The sequence below is a fragment of the Homo sapiens genome, chromosome 20, assembly GCF_000001405.40.
Source record: "Homo sapiens chromosome 20, GRCh38.p14 Primary Assembly".
Taxonomy (NCBI): Eukaryota; Metazoa; Chordata; class Mammalia; order Primates; family Hominidae; genus Homo; species Homo sapiens.
The window spans coordinates 54,075,155-54,092,833 of NC_000020.11; the positions used below are offsets into that span (position 1 = coordinate 54,075,155).

The window sequence follows — 17,679 nt, forward strand, 5'->3', positions numbered from 1 at the left end:
ACCAGCGGAAGGCATGACCCAGCCATTATAGTGTGGTCATGCACCCAGGGCCTGTCAGTGACAGCTGGTCTCCTGCCAGTCAGGATGCCCACCCTGCTCCAGCTGAGACAGGAAATCTGACATGCACCTTTGTCTTTCTGTATGCCACCCATCACTTGGCATTTTTCAGATCACTTTCTTGTGCTTTATCTGATATGCTCCTTACTATAATCCTATGACATAAGAAGTATCTATTTGCCTGAGGAGGAAACAGTTTCAATGAAGACCAATGTCTTATGCTAAATTAAGCCATGGGCTAACACTGGGGGCAGATCTCTCAAGACTAAACTCAGGGTCAGTCTTGGTTAGGAACCCAGGGTCTGGCATCACTCAGCCTGAGACAGAATTTTGGTTTCACAGTTGATTCACTGTGTGACCTTGAGGAGGTTGTTTGCCCTTTCTGTGCTTTCGTTTTATGACCTAAAAATGGTTCTATTGGCAGCACCCAAGTTATAGAGTTGGTGTGGGAATTAAATGAGATAATTCACAGAAAATGCTTAGCACAGTGCCTGGCACCCAGTATGCTTAATAAAATGACACAGTCACTAAGGATAGGGTTGGGATTTAAACACATAGCATCTGACCTCAGGACCTGCACTCTTAACAACTAAATTTACACATGCATATGTAATATATATGCACACACATGCATAAACATATCAACATAATTAAAGGAAAATAAAAAATAGTAACAAAACTCACAAATAATCTAGAAACCCCATGCAAACTGCATTGAATGTGGATTACTTGACCATGCATCTCTGTTTCAAATCTCTGATTCTTTAGGTCATATTTTAAAACTTACACAACATTTTGAGAACTACGTTGGATGCTTTCTCATGGAGAATGCATCCAGTGTAGTGCATGGAGAGAGTCTAATCCTCCTAATCTAGTTGAAGTGTGAGAATATCATGCAATAAACAGAACACAGTTTTGTATTCACCTCTATCCCTGTCCCTGGAGATAGGATGGGGGTTTACTGCTGTCATCGGCAAAGACCATACCTGCCATTTCCCCTGATTCAAACCATGTTCTCCATCATGATATGCTGTTTACTGACCTCTGTGAGGGGGCCAGTGATGAGCACAGTGGTTAAGAGAAGGCCTTGGAATTACACCCCAGTTTGAACTCTGGCTCATACTTCTGTGCTGTGCAAAATCAAGCATGTGCAAAATCAAGTTGTGCAAAATCTTCTTACTCTAAAATAGAAACAATAACATCTCTCCTGAGGATTGTTTTGAAGATAAAATGGCATGAGGAATGAAAACACCAAGCCCAGATGCTGACAAACACTAAGGGCTCAACCAGAAATACCGGTTATTACTGTAATTGGCTATCATTGAGTCTACAGAGATGTGTACAACCATGATGCAGCCATATATTCAGAGAGATTAATTTTCGTCACCACTATTGGGCACCCCTCTTTTTTTTTTTGAGACGGAGTCTTGCTCTGTCACCAAGCTGGAGTGCAGCGGTGCAATCTTGGCTCACTGTAACCTTTACCTCCCGGGTTCAAGCGATTCTCCTGCCTCAGCCTCCCGAGTAGCTGGGACTATAGGTGTGCACCACCACGCCCAGCTAATTTTTGTATTTTTAGTAGAGATGGGGTTTCACCATGTTGGCCAGAATGGTCTTGATCTCTTGACCTCGGGGCACCCTTCTTTTATTGCGAAAATTGTGTCTTATTTATATTTGTAACCTAAGTGCCTACCTGAATGCCAGCCCAACGTCAATGTTGCCTCAATGGCTCATGGCATGTTGAATACAATATGGTACCTGCCATATCAGTCTTAGGTTTAGATCTCAGCTCTGCTTCAGCTATGCCATGTGAATGTGGGCAAATTCCTTAAGCTCCCTGGAACTGTTTTCTCACTGCCAAATAGGGATGGGACGTTTAATGTATGGGAAATGTCTAGCACACAGCCTGGTACATAACTTGTGATGTACAGCAGCAGAAGGTAACTGCTGTTTTTCATCATTATTAGTATTATTGGAGTATAAAAAAAGTAATATAGAAAGGAAGAAGCCAAGGGTGGTGGTTGAGGCAGAGCAAGGTCTCCCCACCTCTGCACTACTGCCATGTGGGGCTGGATCTTCGGTGCTGTAGGGGCTGTCCTGTGCATCGTAGGGTGTTTGGAGCATTCCTGGTCTCTACCCATAGGTGCCAGGAGCATGTCTCCAGTTGCCATGAGAAAAGATGTCTCTGGACATTGCCAAATGACTCCTAGGGGGCAAAAGCTTTCCCGTTGAGAACCACTGGGGTAGAAGGATGGGTGAAAGTTTGGTAGCCACTTTGCAGGGGGTGCACTTCCTCTGGAAAGCTGAAAATTGGCAAGGATAGGAGGCTTGGAGTATGGATGATAGAAATTCCAGAGAGAGAAAAGAGGCAGGGAAATACATCATACGCTCTGGGATCAGCAGGTGCCCAGTAGTTGGAATATAGGATATTATTGCAATACTTAGTATTATTTTTATTGAGAATAAGGCTATGAATGTGGCCAGGGAAAGAGCTTGGGTATCATGCTAGGGGTCTGGGCTTTATCCTGAAGGGTCACCAAATATACTGACACTGTGAGGAATTTGGGGTAGTGTTGCTTGATAAAATAATGAAATTATGACACAGCTATAGCACGGATGAACCCTGAAGACACTATGCTAAGTGAAATGAATCAGACACAAAAAGAAAAATATTGTATAATTCCACTTATATGAGAAGACTTAAATTCATAGAGAAAGAAAATAGAATGTTGGTTGTCAGGGGCTGACAGAAGGGGAATGGGAACTTACTGTTTAACGGGTACAGAGTTTAGTTTGGGAAGATGAAAAAGTTCTGGAAATGGATAATAGTGATAGTTGCACAGTATTTAGAATGTGCCTAATACCACTAAGACGTATATTTAAAATGGTTAAAAAGATAAATTTTATGTTCCTTATATTCTATCACAATAAAAAATACAAGTCCAGTTAAATTTGAATTCCAGATTCAACAATAAATAATTTTTTTACTCTAAGTATGTCTCAAATACTGCATAAGCATAGCATAAGTATGTTTCATGTACAATATTGGACATACTTATACAAAAACAATTATTCATTATTGTTGAAATTCAAATATACTTGAAATTCAAATTTAACTGGGTGTGCTGTACTTGTATTTGGTAAATTTGCCATCCCTAAGTTGGGGGCATTGCTGAGGGTGGACTAGAGGGAAGGGAATGGTGGCAGGCAAGCCACAGAGGATGCATTTAGCCACAAGTAGCAGGAAACGTGATGGACAGCAGCTTAGACCAAAAGAGCATTTCCGGTTTAATTAACAGGAAATCCACAGGAAGGTGCTTCCGGGGCTGGTGCAGCCGCTCAACAGTGTCTTTGAAACTCAGGTTCTTTCTGATTTTCTCCTCTGCCAGACTCAGGTATTCATCTCATCAAAGCAAGAAGACCACCTCAGCTCTAGAACCACAGTCTCCCCCTAACTTCAGCTGCACGGAGCAGGGATAGACACAAAAGACCTTTCCTTCCCAGATATTGTTGAAAAAAAAAAAAAAAGAAAAGAAAGAAAGAAAAGAAAAAATAGAAACTTTTTTTTTCCTTCTGGGAGAAAAAGCTTTTGAGAAGGCCTCAGACAGAGTAATCGACTTCTCTTCATGCCTCACTTGTCAGAACTGGATCTCACCACTCCCATTCGCAAACCAGTCCCTGCAAAGGGTAGTAGGATTGCTGTAATTGGCTTAGGTCAGGAGTCAACAAACTTTTTCTGGAAAGATCCAGATAGCAAATATTTTAGGCTTTGTGGGCCAAATGGTCTCTGTTTCACACTACAATTCTGCCATTGTAGTGTGAAAGCAGTCAAAGGCAAAGTTTAAATGGATGTGGCTGTGTTTCAATAAAACTTTATTTAAAAAAATACAGGTGGTGACATAACAACTAAACTCTAAGAGTCTGGACAGAAGCCAGACAAAGAAAGCTGTGGAAAGAACATTGAACTTGGAGTCAGCCCCGCTCACCTGGTCTGAACTCTTGGCTTTGCCTTGTGTCCTCAAGTAACCTACTTCTCTCTGAACCTCAGATTCTTCAGCTGCAAAATGGGGATAATAATATTCACCTACTAAGGTTCTTGTGGGGGAAGTAGGCAATGGAAGTGAGTGTAAGGAGGGAAGAGTAGAAGGAGTCCAACAATAATCTGAGTTTTCTGAGCTCAAGAATGTCAATACAGGCAGGGCACAGTGGCTGACGCCTGTAATCCCAACCGAGGCGGGCAGATCACCTGAGGTCAAGAGTTCAAGACCAGCCTGGCCAACATGATGAAACCCTGTCTCTACTAAAAATACAAAAATTAGCCAGGAGTGGTGGCACACGCCTGTAATCCCAGCTACTCAGGAGGCTGAGGCAGGAGAATTGCTTGAACCCGGGAGGCGGAGGTTTCAGTGAGCCTAGATCGCGCCACTGCACTCCAGCCTGTGCGACAGAGCGAGACTCCATCTAAAAAAAAACCAAAAAACAAAAAAAATAAAAATAAAAAAAAAAGAAGTTCAGTGATAGGTTTCAGATTCCACACTGCAACCAACTTTGAGCAACTATCACTTGCCAGGTTTTGGTGGTGGTGTAGAAACTACCTGCAATTACCCAAAAAGGCTGTTCAAATACTTCTCCCTTTTCCAGCTACAGACCTGCAAGAGGCTGGAGTTGCTTTGTGTGCTTCAACCAAAACAACATATGGCAACAGACTGAATGCAGAAGCAGATACAAGAATCCAGCTGTCTTCTATTAAGGCAGACAGTAAAGAGACTTGCAAAAATGTAAAACTACCATTATTTTTGCCCTGTTGTGTTTTGGAACAAAACAAATAGTTTCGTTGAAAAATTTTTAGAAAAAAATCATTTTTCATAAAAATGTTATTTATGTTAAAATGGAAGGGATTTATTTCTTTGAGATGAAATTATATAAATTTTTAAAATTCTTAGTTTTAATTTTTAATGTGGTAAATAGGTATCGCTCAATCCACATAAAAATTCTTTGAGATCTTACATAATTTTTAACAGTGCAAAGTGTTCTGAGAACCAGACTTTGAAAACTGCTTTTTATTTTTTCATTACAAATTTATTATAAAACACACAGAGGATAAAATTTAAAATAATAATCTATAATCCTGTCACTAAGAAATATCCTCTTTTGGTATTTCTTTCCTTCCGTATCAATATCATACCTATATTACTCATTGTGAAATACTGTTTCGAAAGCCGGAATTTTTTTTTTCCATCATAGATGTCACAAATAAATTTAAAATAGGGGTTGAGGGGTTTAAGTACCTGAGATGAATTAACTCCCTGGCCATATTGGGTATTTAAGTGTTTGACACCTTCTGCTATTATAAACATGACAGATTTCCTAGACTTCTCCCTTAGAAGCATTTTCCAGATGTTAAAGTATTGGATCAAACGGTAGTCACATTTTAGAGGCATTTGATACATGTCGCCAAATTCCTGTTCAACTGGATGGTCTTCCGTGAGGCCAGGCTGGGTCTCCATAACTCAGAATTACATTTGGCACTTCCATGGATGGGTGAATGGATGGATGAATGGATGAACAAACGTGTGAAAGGGATGGTTTCTTTGTACCCACGTTAAAATTGGGTGTTAACAGTTAAATTATTTTGTATTTGCTTAATTTTAAAAAGGTGTCTCATTAGGATTGCTGTTGTAATTTTCATTTCCTTCATGACTGTGACATTAAAAGTGTTGTCTCATGTTGACTGAACATTTGTCTTTATCTCTTGTCAAATGCCAAAGCCATTGATTCTTGACACCCAGTTCCTTTCATCTTCTAGCACTCAGCCTCCTTGCAGATCAGTTTTCCCCATTCCACCAAGTCAGAGATAAAAGGAAGGGGCTGGGGGCAAGAGCTTTGTGATGAGTCTTCTGTGATGTTGCTAGAGGGAAGTGTGTTTTTTCCAAGTGAGGATTAATTGCCAACTTTTCTTTTTTTTTTTTTTTAAGACAGGGTCTCACTCTGTCACCCAGGCTGGAGTTCAGTGGCAACATCATGGCTCACTGCAGTCTGGACCTCCTGAGCTCAAGCCATCCTCCCACTCCAACCTTCCAGGTAGCTGGGACTGCAGGTGCACGCCACTACACCTGGATTTTTTTTTTTTTTTTCATTTTTTGTAGAGATGGCATCCCCCTATGTTGCCCAGGCTGGTCTCGAACTCCTGGGCTCTAGTGATTCTCCCACCTATGCCTCCCAAAGTGCTGGGATTACAGGCATGAGCCACCATACCTGGCCAATTGCCAACGTTTAATAATCAGGAAACTTTATATAAAAATTTAAAGATCTAGTCTCTCATTTGTCAATTAAAAGGTTTGGCAATATTGTCACATCACAGTCGCCTGGGTCTAGGCGTTGGCAGCCTTTTCAAAGGGACACTTGTTTCTTAGTTTATGTTGGTTTCCGTCACTCCCTCCCCGCTGGCCCCACATCCATTGCCTATTTATCCTCACCCTCGTGCTGCCATTTTTCTTGGAGCAAATTTATAAGAACCATGAACTATTTCTACCAAAATATGAAAAAAGAACACTATAAGAGATCCCATGTCTTCATAAGAATGCAAAAGCATCCTTGTAAATGAAAAGTTACATATATTTCACAGAAGTTTGATGTATTTAATATAACATAATTATAATATTTAATATAAACGTAGTTGCATATGCTTAAAATACAAAGTATGTCTGTGTTGAAAACAAGTATAATTTTTTCATCCAATACATACTATGCTCTTAGCTGGAGAGTTTATGCCCTGATATTTATCACATAGCATAGGAAGACCCCCATCTCTACAAATATTGAAAAAAAAATTTAGCCAGGCATGGTGCTGCGTGCCTATGGTTCCAGCTACTCGGGAGGCTGAGGCTGGGGGTTTGCATGAACCCAGGAGCTCGAGGCTGCAGTGAGCCATGATTGCACCATTGCACTCCAGCCTAGGCAACAAAGCAAGACTCTGTTTAAAAAATATATATAGATGATTAATTCCCACTTTGAACAAACATACTTCCTGAGTCTTCCTGACCCCTGCAGACACTTGAGTTTGTGAGCCCTGACCTGGCTGCTAAGCGGTGTCCGTTGGTTTTCCTGTTGCGCCCGGGGTAGAAGTTTGAAGCTGAGCTTCAAGTGTTTGTCTTTCCCTTGGGAGAAGGAGATTTTCTAGCTCACCTCACATAGTGTGTAGACATCTGGGTTATCCTCGCTTCTCTAGAGAACTATAGCTGAGAAAATGAGAAGCCATCTCTGAGGAGTAATAACACACAGTGCTCTGAGAGGTTGAAACAGAAACTGAGGAAAAAAAACCAAGTTTTTCAAAGGTGGATTTAAACATGATCAGTTTTGCCATATCTGTGTTTTCTCTCTCCTACTGCAGGGCTTCCCAAACTTTAGTTATACACTGAAGCTTTTTTTCTCATTCCTCATGCCATATAAACGAAAACATATTTTCTTTAAATTGACTCACGATTTCATTTGAAGTATCTAAAATAGACACTGACTATGACTACCATAAGTGGAAAATTAGTATTATGTCCCCCAAATAAAATGTAACATTAAAAAATAAACCTGTAACAACTGTAAAGAAAGGTCTTACGTTCTAGCTAGATTCTGTTGCCTGCCTAAGATCCACACCCAAGGCCAGCTCACTCTGTTAAAAATATGTTAAAGGAATTCTAGCATCGCCGGGCGCGGTGGCTCATGCCTGTAATCCCAGCGCTTTGGGAGGCCGAGGCAGGCAGATCATGAGGTCAGGAGTTCGAGACCAGCCTGGCCAACATGGTGAAACCCCATGTCTACTAAAGATACAAAAAATTAGCCGGGCGTGGTAGCACACGCCTGTAATTCCAGCTACTTGGGAGACTGAGGCAGGAGAATCAGTTGAATCCGGGAGGTGGAGGTTGCGGTGAGCTGAGATCGCACCATTGCGCTCCAGCTTGGGGGATAGGGGCAAGACTCCATCTCAAAAAAAAAAAAAAAAAAAAAAAAAAAACAACACCAGAAAGAAATTCTGGCATCAAACTAAGGCTTTCTCTTTGATACATCCAGAAGCATTAGTTGATAATTGAAAGAAAATGGCAAAGGGAATAACTACCTCACCTTCTCAGTTGGTGACTGAATAGTATTTTAAGTTCACTTTATGCCCAGTGCAAACTTTTGTATCACCACTGGTAAGCATTTCATAACTTGTGAAACACTATCTGACTGTTATTCATTTATTAATTGAAAAGAAAATATTTTTATTACTACTTGTGTTACTCCACCAACCAGCTACTATACCAGCCTCTCACTGATTGAACAATTACCACACCATGCTATTTTTCTTGTTCCCTGACACAAGTTTTTGAACCATTCTTGTATACTATTTTTCAATAATTCCTAGTTCCCCTTTTACAGATGATGAAAATAAGACTTAGTGAAGTTAAGAAACTTAGCCAAGCTTCACACCCAGTAAATATAGAGTTGAAATTCAAATGAAGTTTGGACATTACTTCTAAGAGCTTGAGGTTATCTATCCTTCAGATCAACCACCAAAGTTGATTTGATTTCACCCCTCAAGCCCCAAGGCTCCCACAACTTAAGAAACAAATGATTCTCCTGTCAGAGAACAAGGATAAAAAACTCCAGAGAAGTGCTATTTTTTCCTTAGCAACAAGGGGAGATATGGTTCCAGATTCAGAATCAATCACAAATGTGATTTACATGGAACTGAATTTTTATCCAGAGGAAACATATTTACTTAGTAAATAGACCATCTTGAAGGAGGGCAAGAGTCCAGAAATAAAACAACTTTCATTCTGAGTAAGGGAAAATGTGGTGTGGGCCTTCTTCTCCAGTGATAGATGTACAGAATTTTATGGACCAATTATAGCTGAAGAAGATTAGGTTTCTTTGAATTCCACAAGATGAAAGGTCCTGTCACTCCTTTATCAGCTGCCTTCTAGAAGTTTCCAGCCATTTACCTATCTATCCCTTAAACCATCCACTCAGCCATTCATTCACTTACCTACCAACCCATTCATTCAGGTATGCAACTAACCATTCACCCAACAACTCACTAATCCATCCTTCCACTCTCCTTCCATCCCTTTCTCCATGTATCCACTCCTCTCTCCATCCATCTGATCATCATCCATCCATCCATCCATCCATTCAATGATCTACCCATCCATCTATCCATTCATCCATCCATCCATTCATCCAATCATCCATCCATCCACCCTACATCCATTCATCCATCCATTCATGCATCCAATTATCCATTCAATCATCCATCCATCTATCCTACCATCCATCCAATTATCCATCCATCCATCCATCCATCCATTCTTTTTGTTCTCCAAACATTTATTAAGCACACACCATGTGCCAGGCCCTGCATTAAGTACTAAGATTATAAAAGGATACAAAGATAAAAAGAGTACAATTTCTATCTGGGCTACAGACTAACAGGGAGAGAGGTATGTATAAAGTGAAAAGAATGTGCAAATAGCAGGAAATAAAGGGGGCATATGAGGCCAAGAATGAGACGTGCTCTCTCAGCCTGAGGTGGGGAGTAAGGCTTTCTGAAAGAAGCATCTTATAAATTGAGAGTTGAATAAAAAGGTGGCATTGGTCAGATGAAAGCCAGAGGTCTGGCAGGGAGAGGAAAGTTGATTTCAACACAGCCAGCCACATGTGCAAAGGCCGAGCATCCATAGCGTTTCTAATGGTACAGTGCTGGAATATATAAGCTCTACATTTTGGGTTCTTAAGGGATTGTCTCATTCCTGATTGAGCTTCCTGAATTCAGATCCTTGCTTGGGCTCTCCCTACCTAAAGACTTGGATTTTCATTTGTGTTTGCATTCAGATGTTGACTGAATCTTGGTCAATATTGTCCCAGATTGTTTGGTACCAGGCCTAAATGCCACAGTATTACTCAGAGCAATTAACCTTTAGTCGTCAACCCAACATATTCACCATACCCCTGTTGAACAAGAGACTGGGCTTTTCTCCAGCTCATTTCTCCTGGCCCAGGCTGCCTACTGGCAGACTTGTAATGCAGAATTATTTTGCCTGCAGCAAATATTATGGAAGCTTTCTTGGAGGTCTGAGGTTAAACCAGTGCAGAGTTTGCTTTTTGCGTCTTCTTGGCATCCTCAATGGGGACATCATATGCCCCAGCCTTTTTCTGGTGAGGCTAAACATTGGAAACCAATATCTGTTTCCTTCACATTTTTACATAGGATACAACTTCATAGCATGTTGGCACTCATCATTTGGAATAGTAATTCGGTGGGCAATTCAAACCTGTCACTCTCAAAATGTTGTAGTGCCTGACACTGGATTTGTTTGTAAACTTAAGAAAAAGTGTGTTGGAATTGGAAGGGCTGTGTGACTTTGGGCAAGTTACTTAGAGTCTCTGGGCCTCAGTTTTCTCCACCTGTAATAGTAGGCACAATAATATACCTACCTCATGGAATTTTTACACAAGTTAATATTTGAAGTGTTCAGAACAGTTCCTAGAATACAGCAAGCATAGAAGTGTTTGTTAAATAGAATTAAAAAATAGGAAAGAGGTGTAGAGTAGTGAAATCCATTTATGCCTAGTGTTCCATGATTGGAACACTAAGCATGTGGGAGTTATCTATATCCTACTGCTCAAGGTCATTGCCAAGGTCTGATTTTTCAATTCAAAAAATTGCAACTTCAGGCATAAATGGGTTAAAAGCAAAGGTGCAGGAGCCAGGTAGATTTAGGTTCTGATGTGAACTCTGCCATCTTCTCACTGTGTAGCCTTGGGAAAGCTAATTAACCTCTCTGACAGTCCAGTTGCTGTGAAAATGAGGCTATGACAGTTCCTCCCTCTTAGGATGGTGTGGGGTTTAAATGAGATAATGCACAGCACGCGCTTGGCAAGGTGCTGTCATAAAATATATGGTGGTTGTTTGCTTCTATGTCATTATTATTCAACTTAAGGTCTGAGTTGGCCAGAATGAGGAATTATGAAATCACATTTGCAAGAGGAAAGTGAAGCCCTGTCCCTGGGAATCCCAGCCGTCTGCCCTTCTCCTGCATGTCCTCCAGCATCCACTCAGGGATAGGAATCTCTGCAGGTGGGAGAAGGGGCCTCGGTTACTTCTGACAACGGTCCTGGGCCACAGGTCCTATTGTCCTTACTTTATAAACGTGGGCCCTGAATGTTTGGTGACCTGCCTAAGGTGACCCAAGCACTACGTGACAAAGACAGCATTTGAGCCCCTGTCCCCTGCCCCACTCTTGGCATGCACACGCAGCCCTGGAATCAGACAGGCCTGGGTTTGAATCCTGGCTTTGATACTTCCTGCCTGTGAGACTGACAGTGAGTCACTTCATTCCCTTCAGCTCCAAATTCTTCGTCTGTCGAGATGACTAGCAATGGCTGCTCTCAGGGCTTTGGAGAAGATCGTGTAAGGCAGAACATAAGAAGCGTTCAGCGTCATGCCTGGCCCACAGTGAGTGCTTCATCGATGCCTGGCACATAAACTTACTGTAATGTATACTGCTCTTATTACTCAGCACATTCTCAACGCTACTCTAGATTTCCAAAAGAGGAGAGATTTTTGAAAGCCGGGACCTCCAGCTTCCTCACCCTAGAATGATACATTTATGACTGCCAATTTCCTGGGAATCGTATTTTTTTTTTCTTGTCTGGGTTACAGTGTGTAAACGTTCATAAAAGGACACTGCCCTGTTTGAAAGCCAAGAACAGCTGTTCGGAGAGCATGTGTTGTAGGGAACTTCTCAAACAATCGCACACCCTGGCCACCAAGTTTGTTTTCTGAAGGGTGGCTTTGGATCCTTGACAATATCTATTACTAAAAAGAAAGTGTTTCAGGCACTGGGTCCTTCCCCATCAGTTTCTACTTCTATGACTGTGGAATTATAAGTCAGTGGATGAAATCCATGAGAGCCATCCAGTGGTGTATCAGCAAGGGTCAAAATGACACAGATGACACACTCGAATATGAGGATAATTCAAGGGACATTCACTGCCTGACAGATTAATTACCAACCTTCGAGTGGGGCGTAGCAGGACAGGATAACCTGGAAACCCAGGGGTAGCAACAGTGGACCCCAAAGACAGAGCATGGGATAAAGCTATATCCACTTTTTTTTTTTTTTTTTTGAGACGAAGTCTTTGTCTGTCGCCAGGCTAGAGTGCAGTGGCGCGATCTCAGCTCATTGAACCTCTTCCCAGGTTCAAGCCATTCTTCTGCCTCAGCCTCCTGAGTAACACAGGTGTGCGCCACCACACCCGGCTAATGTATTTTTAGTAGAGATGGGGTTTCACCATGTTGGCCAGGATGGTCTCGATCTCTTGACCTCATGATCCACCCTCCTCGGCATCCCAAAGTGTTGGGATTACAGGCGTGAGCCACTGCACCTGGCCCAGTATCTGCTTTAAGAACAGAACAGGGATTTTCTGTCTAAGGATGCTGCCAATCTGAGGTTACCTCACTCTCCTCCCTTCCTATAATTTCCTACCTGGGATCCTCAGCAGCCAAGCCCAACCAGAAGCCCAAGGATAGAACACTACATCAATTGTGTGTTGCCATCATCCATACATGTTGGCCTTGGGAAACAGAGAGCAGAGATGGGTGGGAAGTGAACCAGGAGGGGCACACAGAAGCAATGCGGCAGGGGAGGTGAGGGCAATGAGCTGCGTGGATTCAGAGGCACTGGAGAAGCTAGTCCCATTAAGATCAATCAGACTGATCAACTGTTGAGCTAGCAATTCAAAGTACCAACTAAAGTTGGGCAAATTTTCTACAATAGCAAGCGTGTCATGCTGCATTGCGATCTAAAAAACACTATATCTTTTGTGAGGCAATATATCGTAAAGCCCAGATAGCAGAATGATTGGCCGAAGTAAAATAGATCATATTATTCACCTCTACTTTACAGTTTTACTGGATCGACTTTTCCTCCACTCCATCCCGAGGATGCTCACAGCCCTGACAGTCAATGGGAATTGGCTATTCCCTGGTCTGGGTACTCTTTTTATCGACGTGTTGATTTTTAGGCCTAGTAACTCAGTTGTGTTTGCTCCCATGCCTGCTTATGCCTGCAGTACCTGTTAATGGCAATTGAAATAATTAATACCTAATTCAGTAAACTGTAAGGATAAAAATAAAGAGAGTTGTTACTTCTGTGAAAATTCAGTTACATTCTGTGGGGAAATAAAATCAGCAAAGGCCAACCATTATAAAAGAATTGCAGTCAAAGTATGTGTGAGCCAGGCAATTGTTAAATGATGGGGGAATCATAAGAATCTAGAAGGATTCTATTTATAATTTATGGTTGGTAGTCCCAGGTCATTCCCTTGCTCCCAATTCAAGCCCGTAGCCAGGCTTTTAACATTCTTCCCTTGGGGGATTTTTCAAGGGTGACAGATGCTTCTGCTCTGTGGTCAATTGCTAAAATGGAGAAGAGGAATCCAAGCCTTGCTCATCTTCTGGAATTTTCCACATCTCTTTCCTTTCATCCAAAGACTTTGCTTGTGCTTCTTTCCCTCTTGTGCTCCAGGGACACCTTGGAAACTTCCTTCATTGATCTTTTAATATTACCAAGAATGGGACATGCCCTTTTCATCTGACCATTTCTGCTTTATACCTGAGGTATACTGAAGATTCCCTGAGGTAACTGAGAAGGCTTTGAGTATGAATGTCCCTCCTCTCTGCTCATGTGGAATTTTTCTCACTTGCCATGTTACCTTTGGACAATTTCGTTCTATGCCTGCCTCTTCTCTAGACAGTAAGCCCCTGAGGATGGGGAACATCTCTCATGCATCTTGGTCCCTTCAATGTCCTGGAATTGCTCTGGAATATTCTAAGCAGTCAGTGAATGCTTGTAAAATCATCTGAAAAGTTTTTGAAAATTATTGCTGGAGACACCAAAGGACCCAAAGATTTTGCATTTATAAGTAATAACACGTTATCCAAGCTCTTTAGACCCGAAGGATGTCTGGATGGGGCTATGGCGAACACACCTGATAGCAATAACTTAAGCATACCTTTAGAATGACCCTGTATGGCAGATGAACCTCGATGTGTGTTCCGAGATAGGGGATATGGAAGTGGCCAGCCTAGAGAGTCATTCCCTGTCTATGAAGAACACCTGAGCCCCGGGGCCATCCACTGGAACATGGACCACAAAGGGGATTGAGGCCCTGAGTGTTGGGTTGAATGACTGCCAGGTGGAGGTTGTTAGGGGGAGGGTGCTACATGAAAGTGCTATATAAACTCCTTGTCTTTTGCAAGCTATTGCGGTTCTTCTGCTCAGCTCACCGCCACTGGGCCACGTGGTTCTCATGTCCAGTCCGCTGCCACTGAACTCTCTCCCCAGTACGTAAGTCCCCAGTAAAACCCCATGTCTTGATTGCTGGCTCTGGGTCTCTTCTTCAGCCTCTTGAACCTGGAGCCAACCTATTGGAGTCAATAGGGGTTTGGTGTAACAGAGGACTAAGCTTGTTGAAGATCAGATTTGAAAAAGCAAATAATCAAAAGTAGAAAAGAGCAGGACACTGCTAGGTCATGCATGATGGCCTCAATAAGTTTGTTCCATTTTTTCCTTCTAATGACTTATTTCTTTTCTTTGCCTGAAAGATTTATGTATCTGTAGGGAATACTTTTGGGTGCAAGTAGCAGAATGCCCAACAAACAGTAGTTTAAACTGTAAGTTCACTTATTTATTTCTTAAGAAGTCCACAGCTCAGCAGCCCAAAGGTGATACAGTGGCTTAATAATGTCATCAAGGAAAGAACATCTTCCTGTCTTTCCACTGAATTATCTTCAGAGCACTGGCTTTTTGTCCTGGGCTCATAATCTTGCAGTTGTCACTAATTTAAATGTCACATCCCAACATGGCAGCATCCAGAACAGGAAGGGAAAGGGTCCTCTTCCTTGTATGGCTCTCTCTGATGTAGGGAGGAAAACGTCTCTAAGAAACTCTAAGAGTTGTCCTTTCCTCATTGGCCACACCTGAGCCAATTGGGTGACTTGCCCACGTGCAGACAAATCACTGGCACATTTTAACCTGTTGCCACAAACTACAAATTGGCTTGAAGCAAGTGTGGCTTATCCCCTTAGGGATGGATCCATCATTGTCTGGAAGAATAAACAGGGTCTATTTGTAAAGAAATGGGGAACCAACAGTGTCTTCTGCAATGTATTTGTTACCATGGCAAACACATGTATTGAGATACATGCCTTTAATGTGGGAGTTTTTAAGCCATGAGAGATATCTCAGGAAGTTCATCAAGCTATCTGTGTTCACCATTTGTCCTTCCCTGAGGAGTAGCTTTTTTTGTCTCAAGATCAAAGATAGAGGTTTCCAAACATTTAAAAGACAACGTTCAGGTTTTTCTTGGGAGATAGAGGTGCACAGAATGTCAGGGAGGGAAACGGGCTGGTGACTGAGAAAGGGGAAGTGATTCCAACCTGGTAGACAAATGGCAATGCCTAGTACCAAGAAAAGGACAACACTTCTTTTGGGGGATTGCTGTTTTCTGTGGGTACCAGATACCAGCACCACCTTTGCCTTCAGTCTTCCTGGTGGGGGGCAGCTGTGGGATGGTAGTGGCATCAGGCTTCTGAGTGCAGAGGTTCTGGGAGCAGCAATGTGAGTCTCTGACTCTCAGCCTACGGTCAGGGGAAAGGTCATCTGTGAAGAGCATCTCTGAGCTGACTTGAAGCATCAGAGTTCAGCAGATGGTGCAAGCGCCAGTCAGGAGCAGGCAAAAGGGGCAGAAACAGCCACTGTAACCTTATAGTGACTCCCCGGGGACTCTGAAACTTCAGTTTTCTTATTTGTAAAAATAGGGACTGTGGTTGGGCATGGTGGCTCACACCTGTAATCCTAGCACTTTGGGAGGCTAAGGGGGGTGGATCCCTTGAGTCCAGAAGCTCAAGACCAACGTGGGCAACATGGCGAAACTGTCTCTACCAAAAAATACAAAAATTAGCTGGGCGTGGTGGTATGCACCTGTTGTCTCAGCTACTCAGGAGGCTGACGTGGGAGGATCCTTTGAGCCCAGGAGGCAGGGGTTGTGGTGAGCTGCTGTACTGCAGGCTGGGCACAGAGTGAGACCCTGTCTCAAGAAAACAAAAACAGAAACCAACCAACAAAAATCGGGGTCAAAACTGTATCTATCTCAGAGATACGATTAACAATATAATATGGTGAAAGTGCTTAGCACAGTGCCTAGCAATAATAAACCTACTAAATAATAGCTGTTATAATATTATTATTTTCTGATATTGTATGATTATAGAAAAAGCAGAGACTCCACAACCAAGATGAAAATGGAAATTCTCAGAAATTGAGTTGGTTAAGTCTTGGAGCTAAATTCATTTGATAAAGAAAAAAGAAGAGATGTGATGCCATTTGAATCTCAATATTGGGGAGCAAATTCCTATCTACTATATTAAGGAACTAATTGAAGGTCCAAGTCCCTTTGAGAATCATGTTCTCTTTGGAGTGCAGCCTTTTCAATTCTACTGCTAATGGTAACATAGCTGAGGCAGTCACACTGTTATCCAGATGTTTCTGTCACCTGTATGCTGAATTAGACATATTATGGTACAGACTGTCTGTCTACCATCTAATTCTGTCATCTTTGTCTGTATGTATCTAACTATTGCTATCTATCTGTGTCTATCTATCTACCTATCTCTGTCTATCTCTCTGTCTGTCTGACTGTCTATTTATCTGACCTATTTAGTTCTTCATCTGTGACATGCACCATAACATTGTCTCATTTAATCCTCACAACAACTCTTCAGGCTAGAACAGAGGCTTTCAAACTTCTTGGAAAAGTTACAACTAAGACAATCACTTTTCCTGAGAACTCTGTTTATAGAAACACACACACATCTGAAAAAGTTGCCTATACTTACTCCATGTGACACATTCTATTCAATTCTATGCTACTGTATTCTATTCTGGTCCATTTAAAACATAATTTATTGTGGGTCACAATGTGGCTTTTATGAATCATTATTCAACTGAGTTCTTGTTATTCTCCATTTATAGAAGAGAAAGAGTTGGGGGAGGTTACAGACAGATGGGAAGAAGCCCAGCTCATCAGAGTAAGAGTTGGAATTGAACCAATGGCTTCTCTGATGTCCGAGCACTGACCATGATGCCCTGCTGCCTCTCACGGTGCTCCTCTGAGGATGGGTGCTTCACACCCAGCTAGTTCCCTGATTATTTTACGACGGCCATTCAAGCCCACCCACCTGCCTCTAGCTCAGTGGTTCTGAATTCTGGCTGCATGTTGGAGTCCTTGGAGCCACTGTCCTGAGGATGAAAATTGCATAGACCTGGACTGGGGCCTGCGCAGGAGTACTTTGTATTATTTTATTCCAACCTATTTCTATCTTTAGATCTAAAGTGAGTCTCGGCCAGGCGCAGTGGCTCACGCCTGTAATCCCAGCACTTTGGGAGGCTGAGGTGGACAGATCACTTGAGGTCAGGAGTTCAAGACCAGTCTAACCAACATGGTGAAACCCAATATCTACTGAAAAAAAAAATACAAAAGTTAGCCAGGCGTAGTGACAGGCACCTGTAATCCTAGCTACTCGGG

At 42.2% G+C, this 17,679-nt stretch overlaps 2 annotated features.

Moving 5' to 3' along the window:
• Positions 4,551-4,610: a silencer, noted in NCBI's record as "silent region_13053". NCBI's record gives its function as "represses an Ori minimal core promoter by ATAC-STARR-seq in GM12878 lymphoblastoid cells {active_cell/tissue: GM12878}" and the evidence as "EXISTENCE:reporter gene assay evidence [ECO:0000049][PMID:35858748]".
• Positions 5,576-6,077: an enhancer, noted in NCBI's record as "NANOG hESC enhancer chr20:52697269-52697770 (GRCh37/hg19 assembly coordinates)". NCBI's record gives its function as "activates a minimal SCP1, AML or CMV promoter by ChIP-STARR-seq in naive H9 embryonic stem cells {active_cell/tissue: H9 hESC(naive)}" and the evidence as "EXISTENCE:reporter gene assay evidence [ECO:0000049][PMID:30033119]".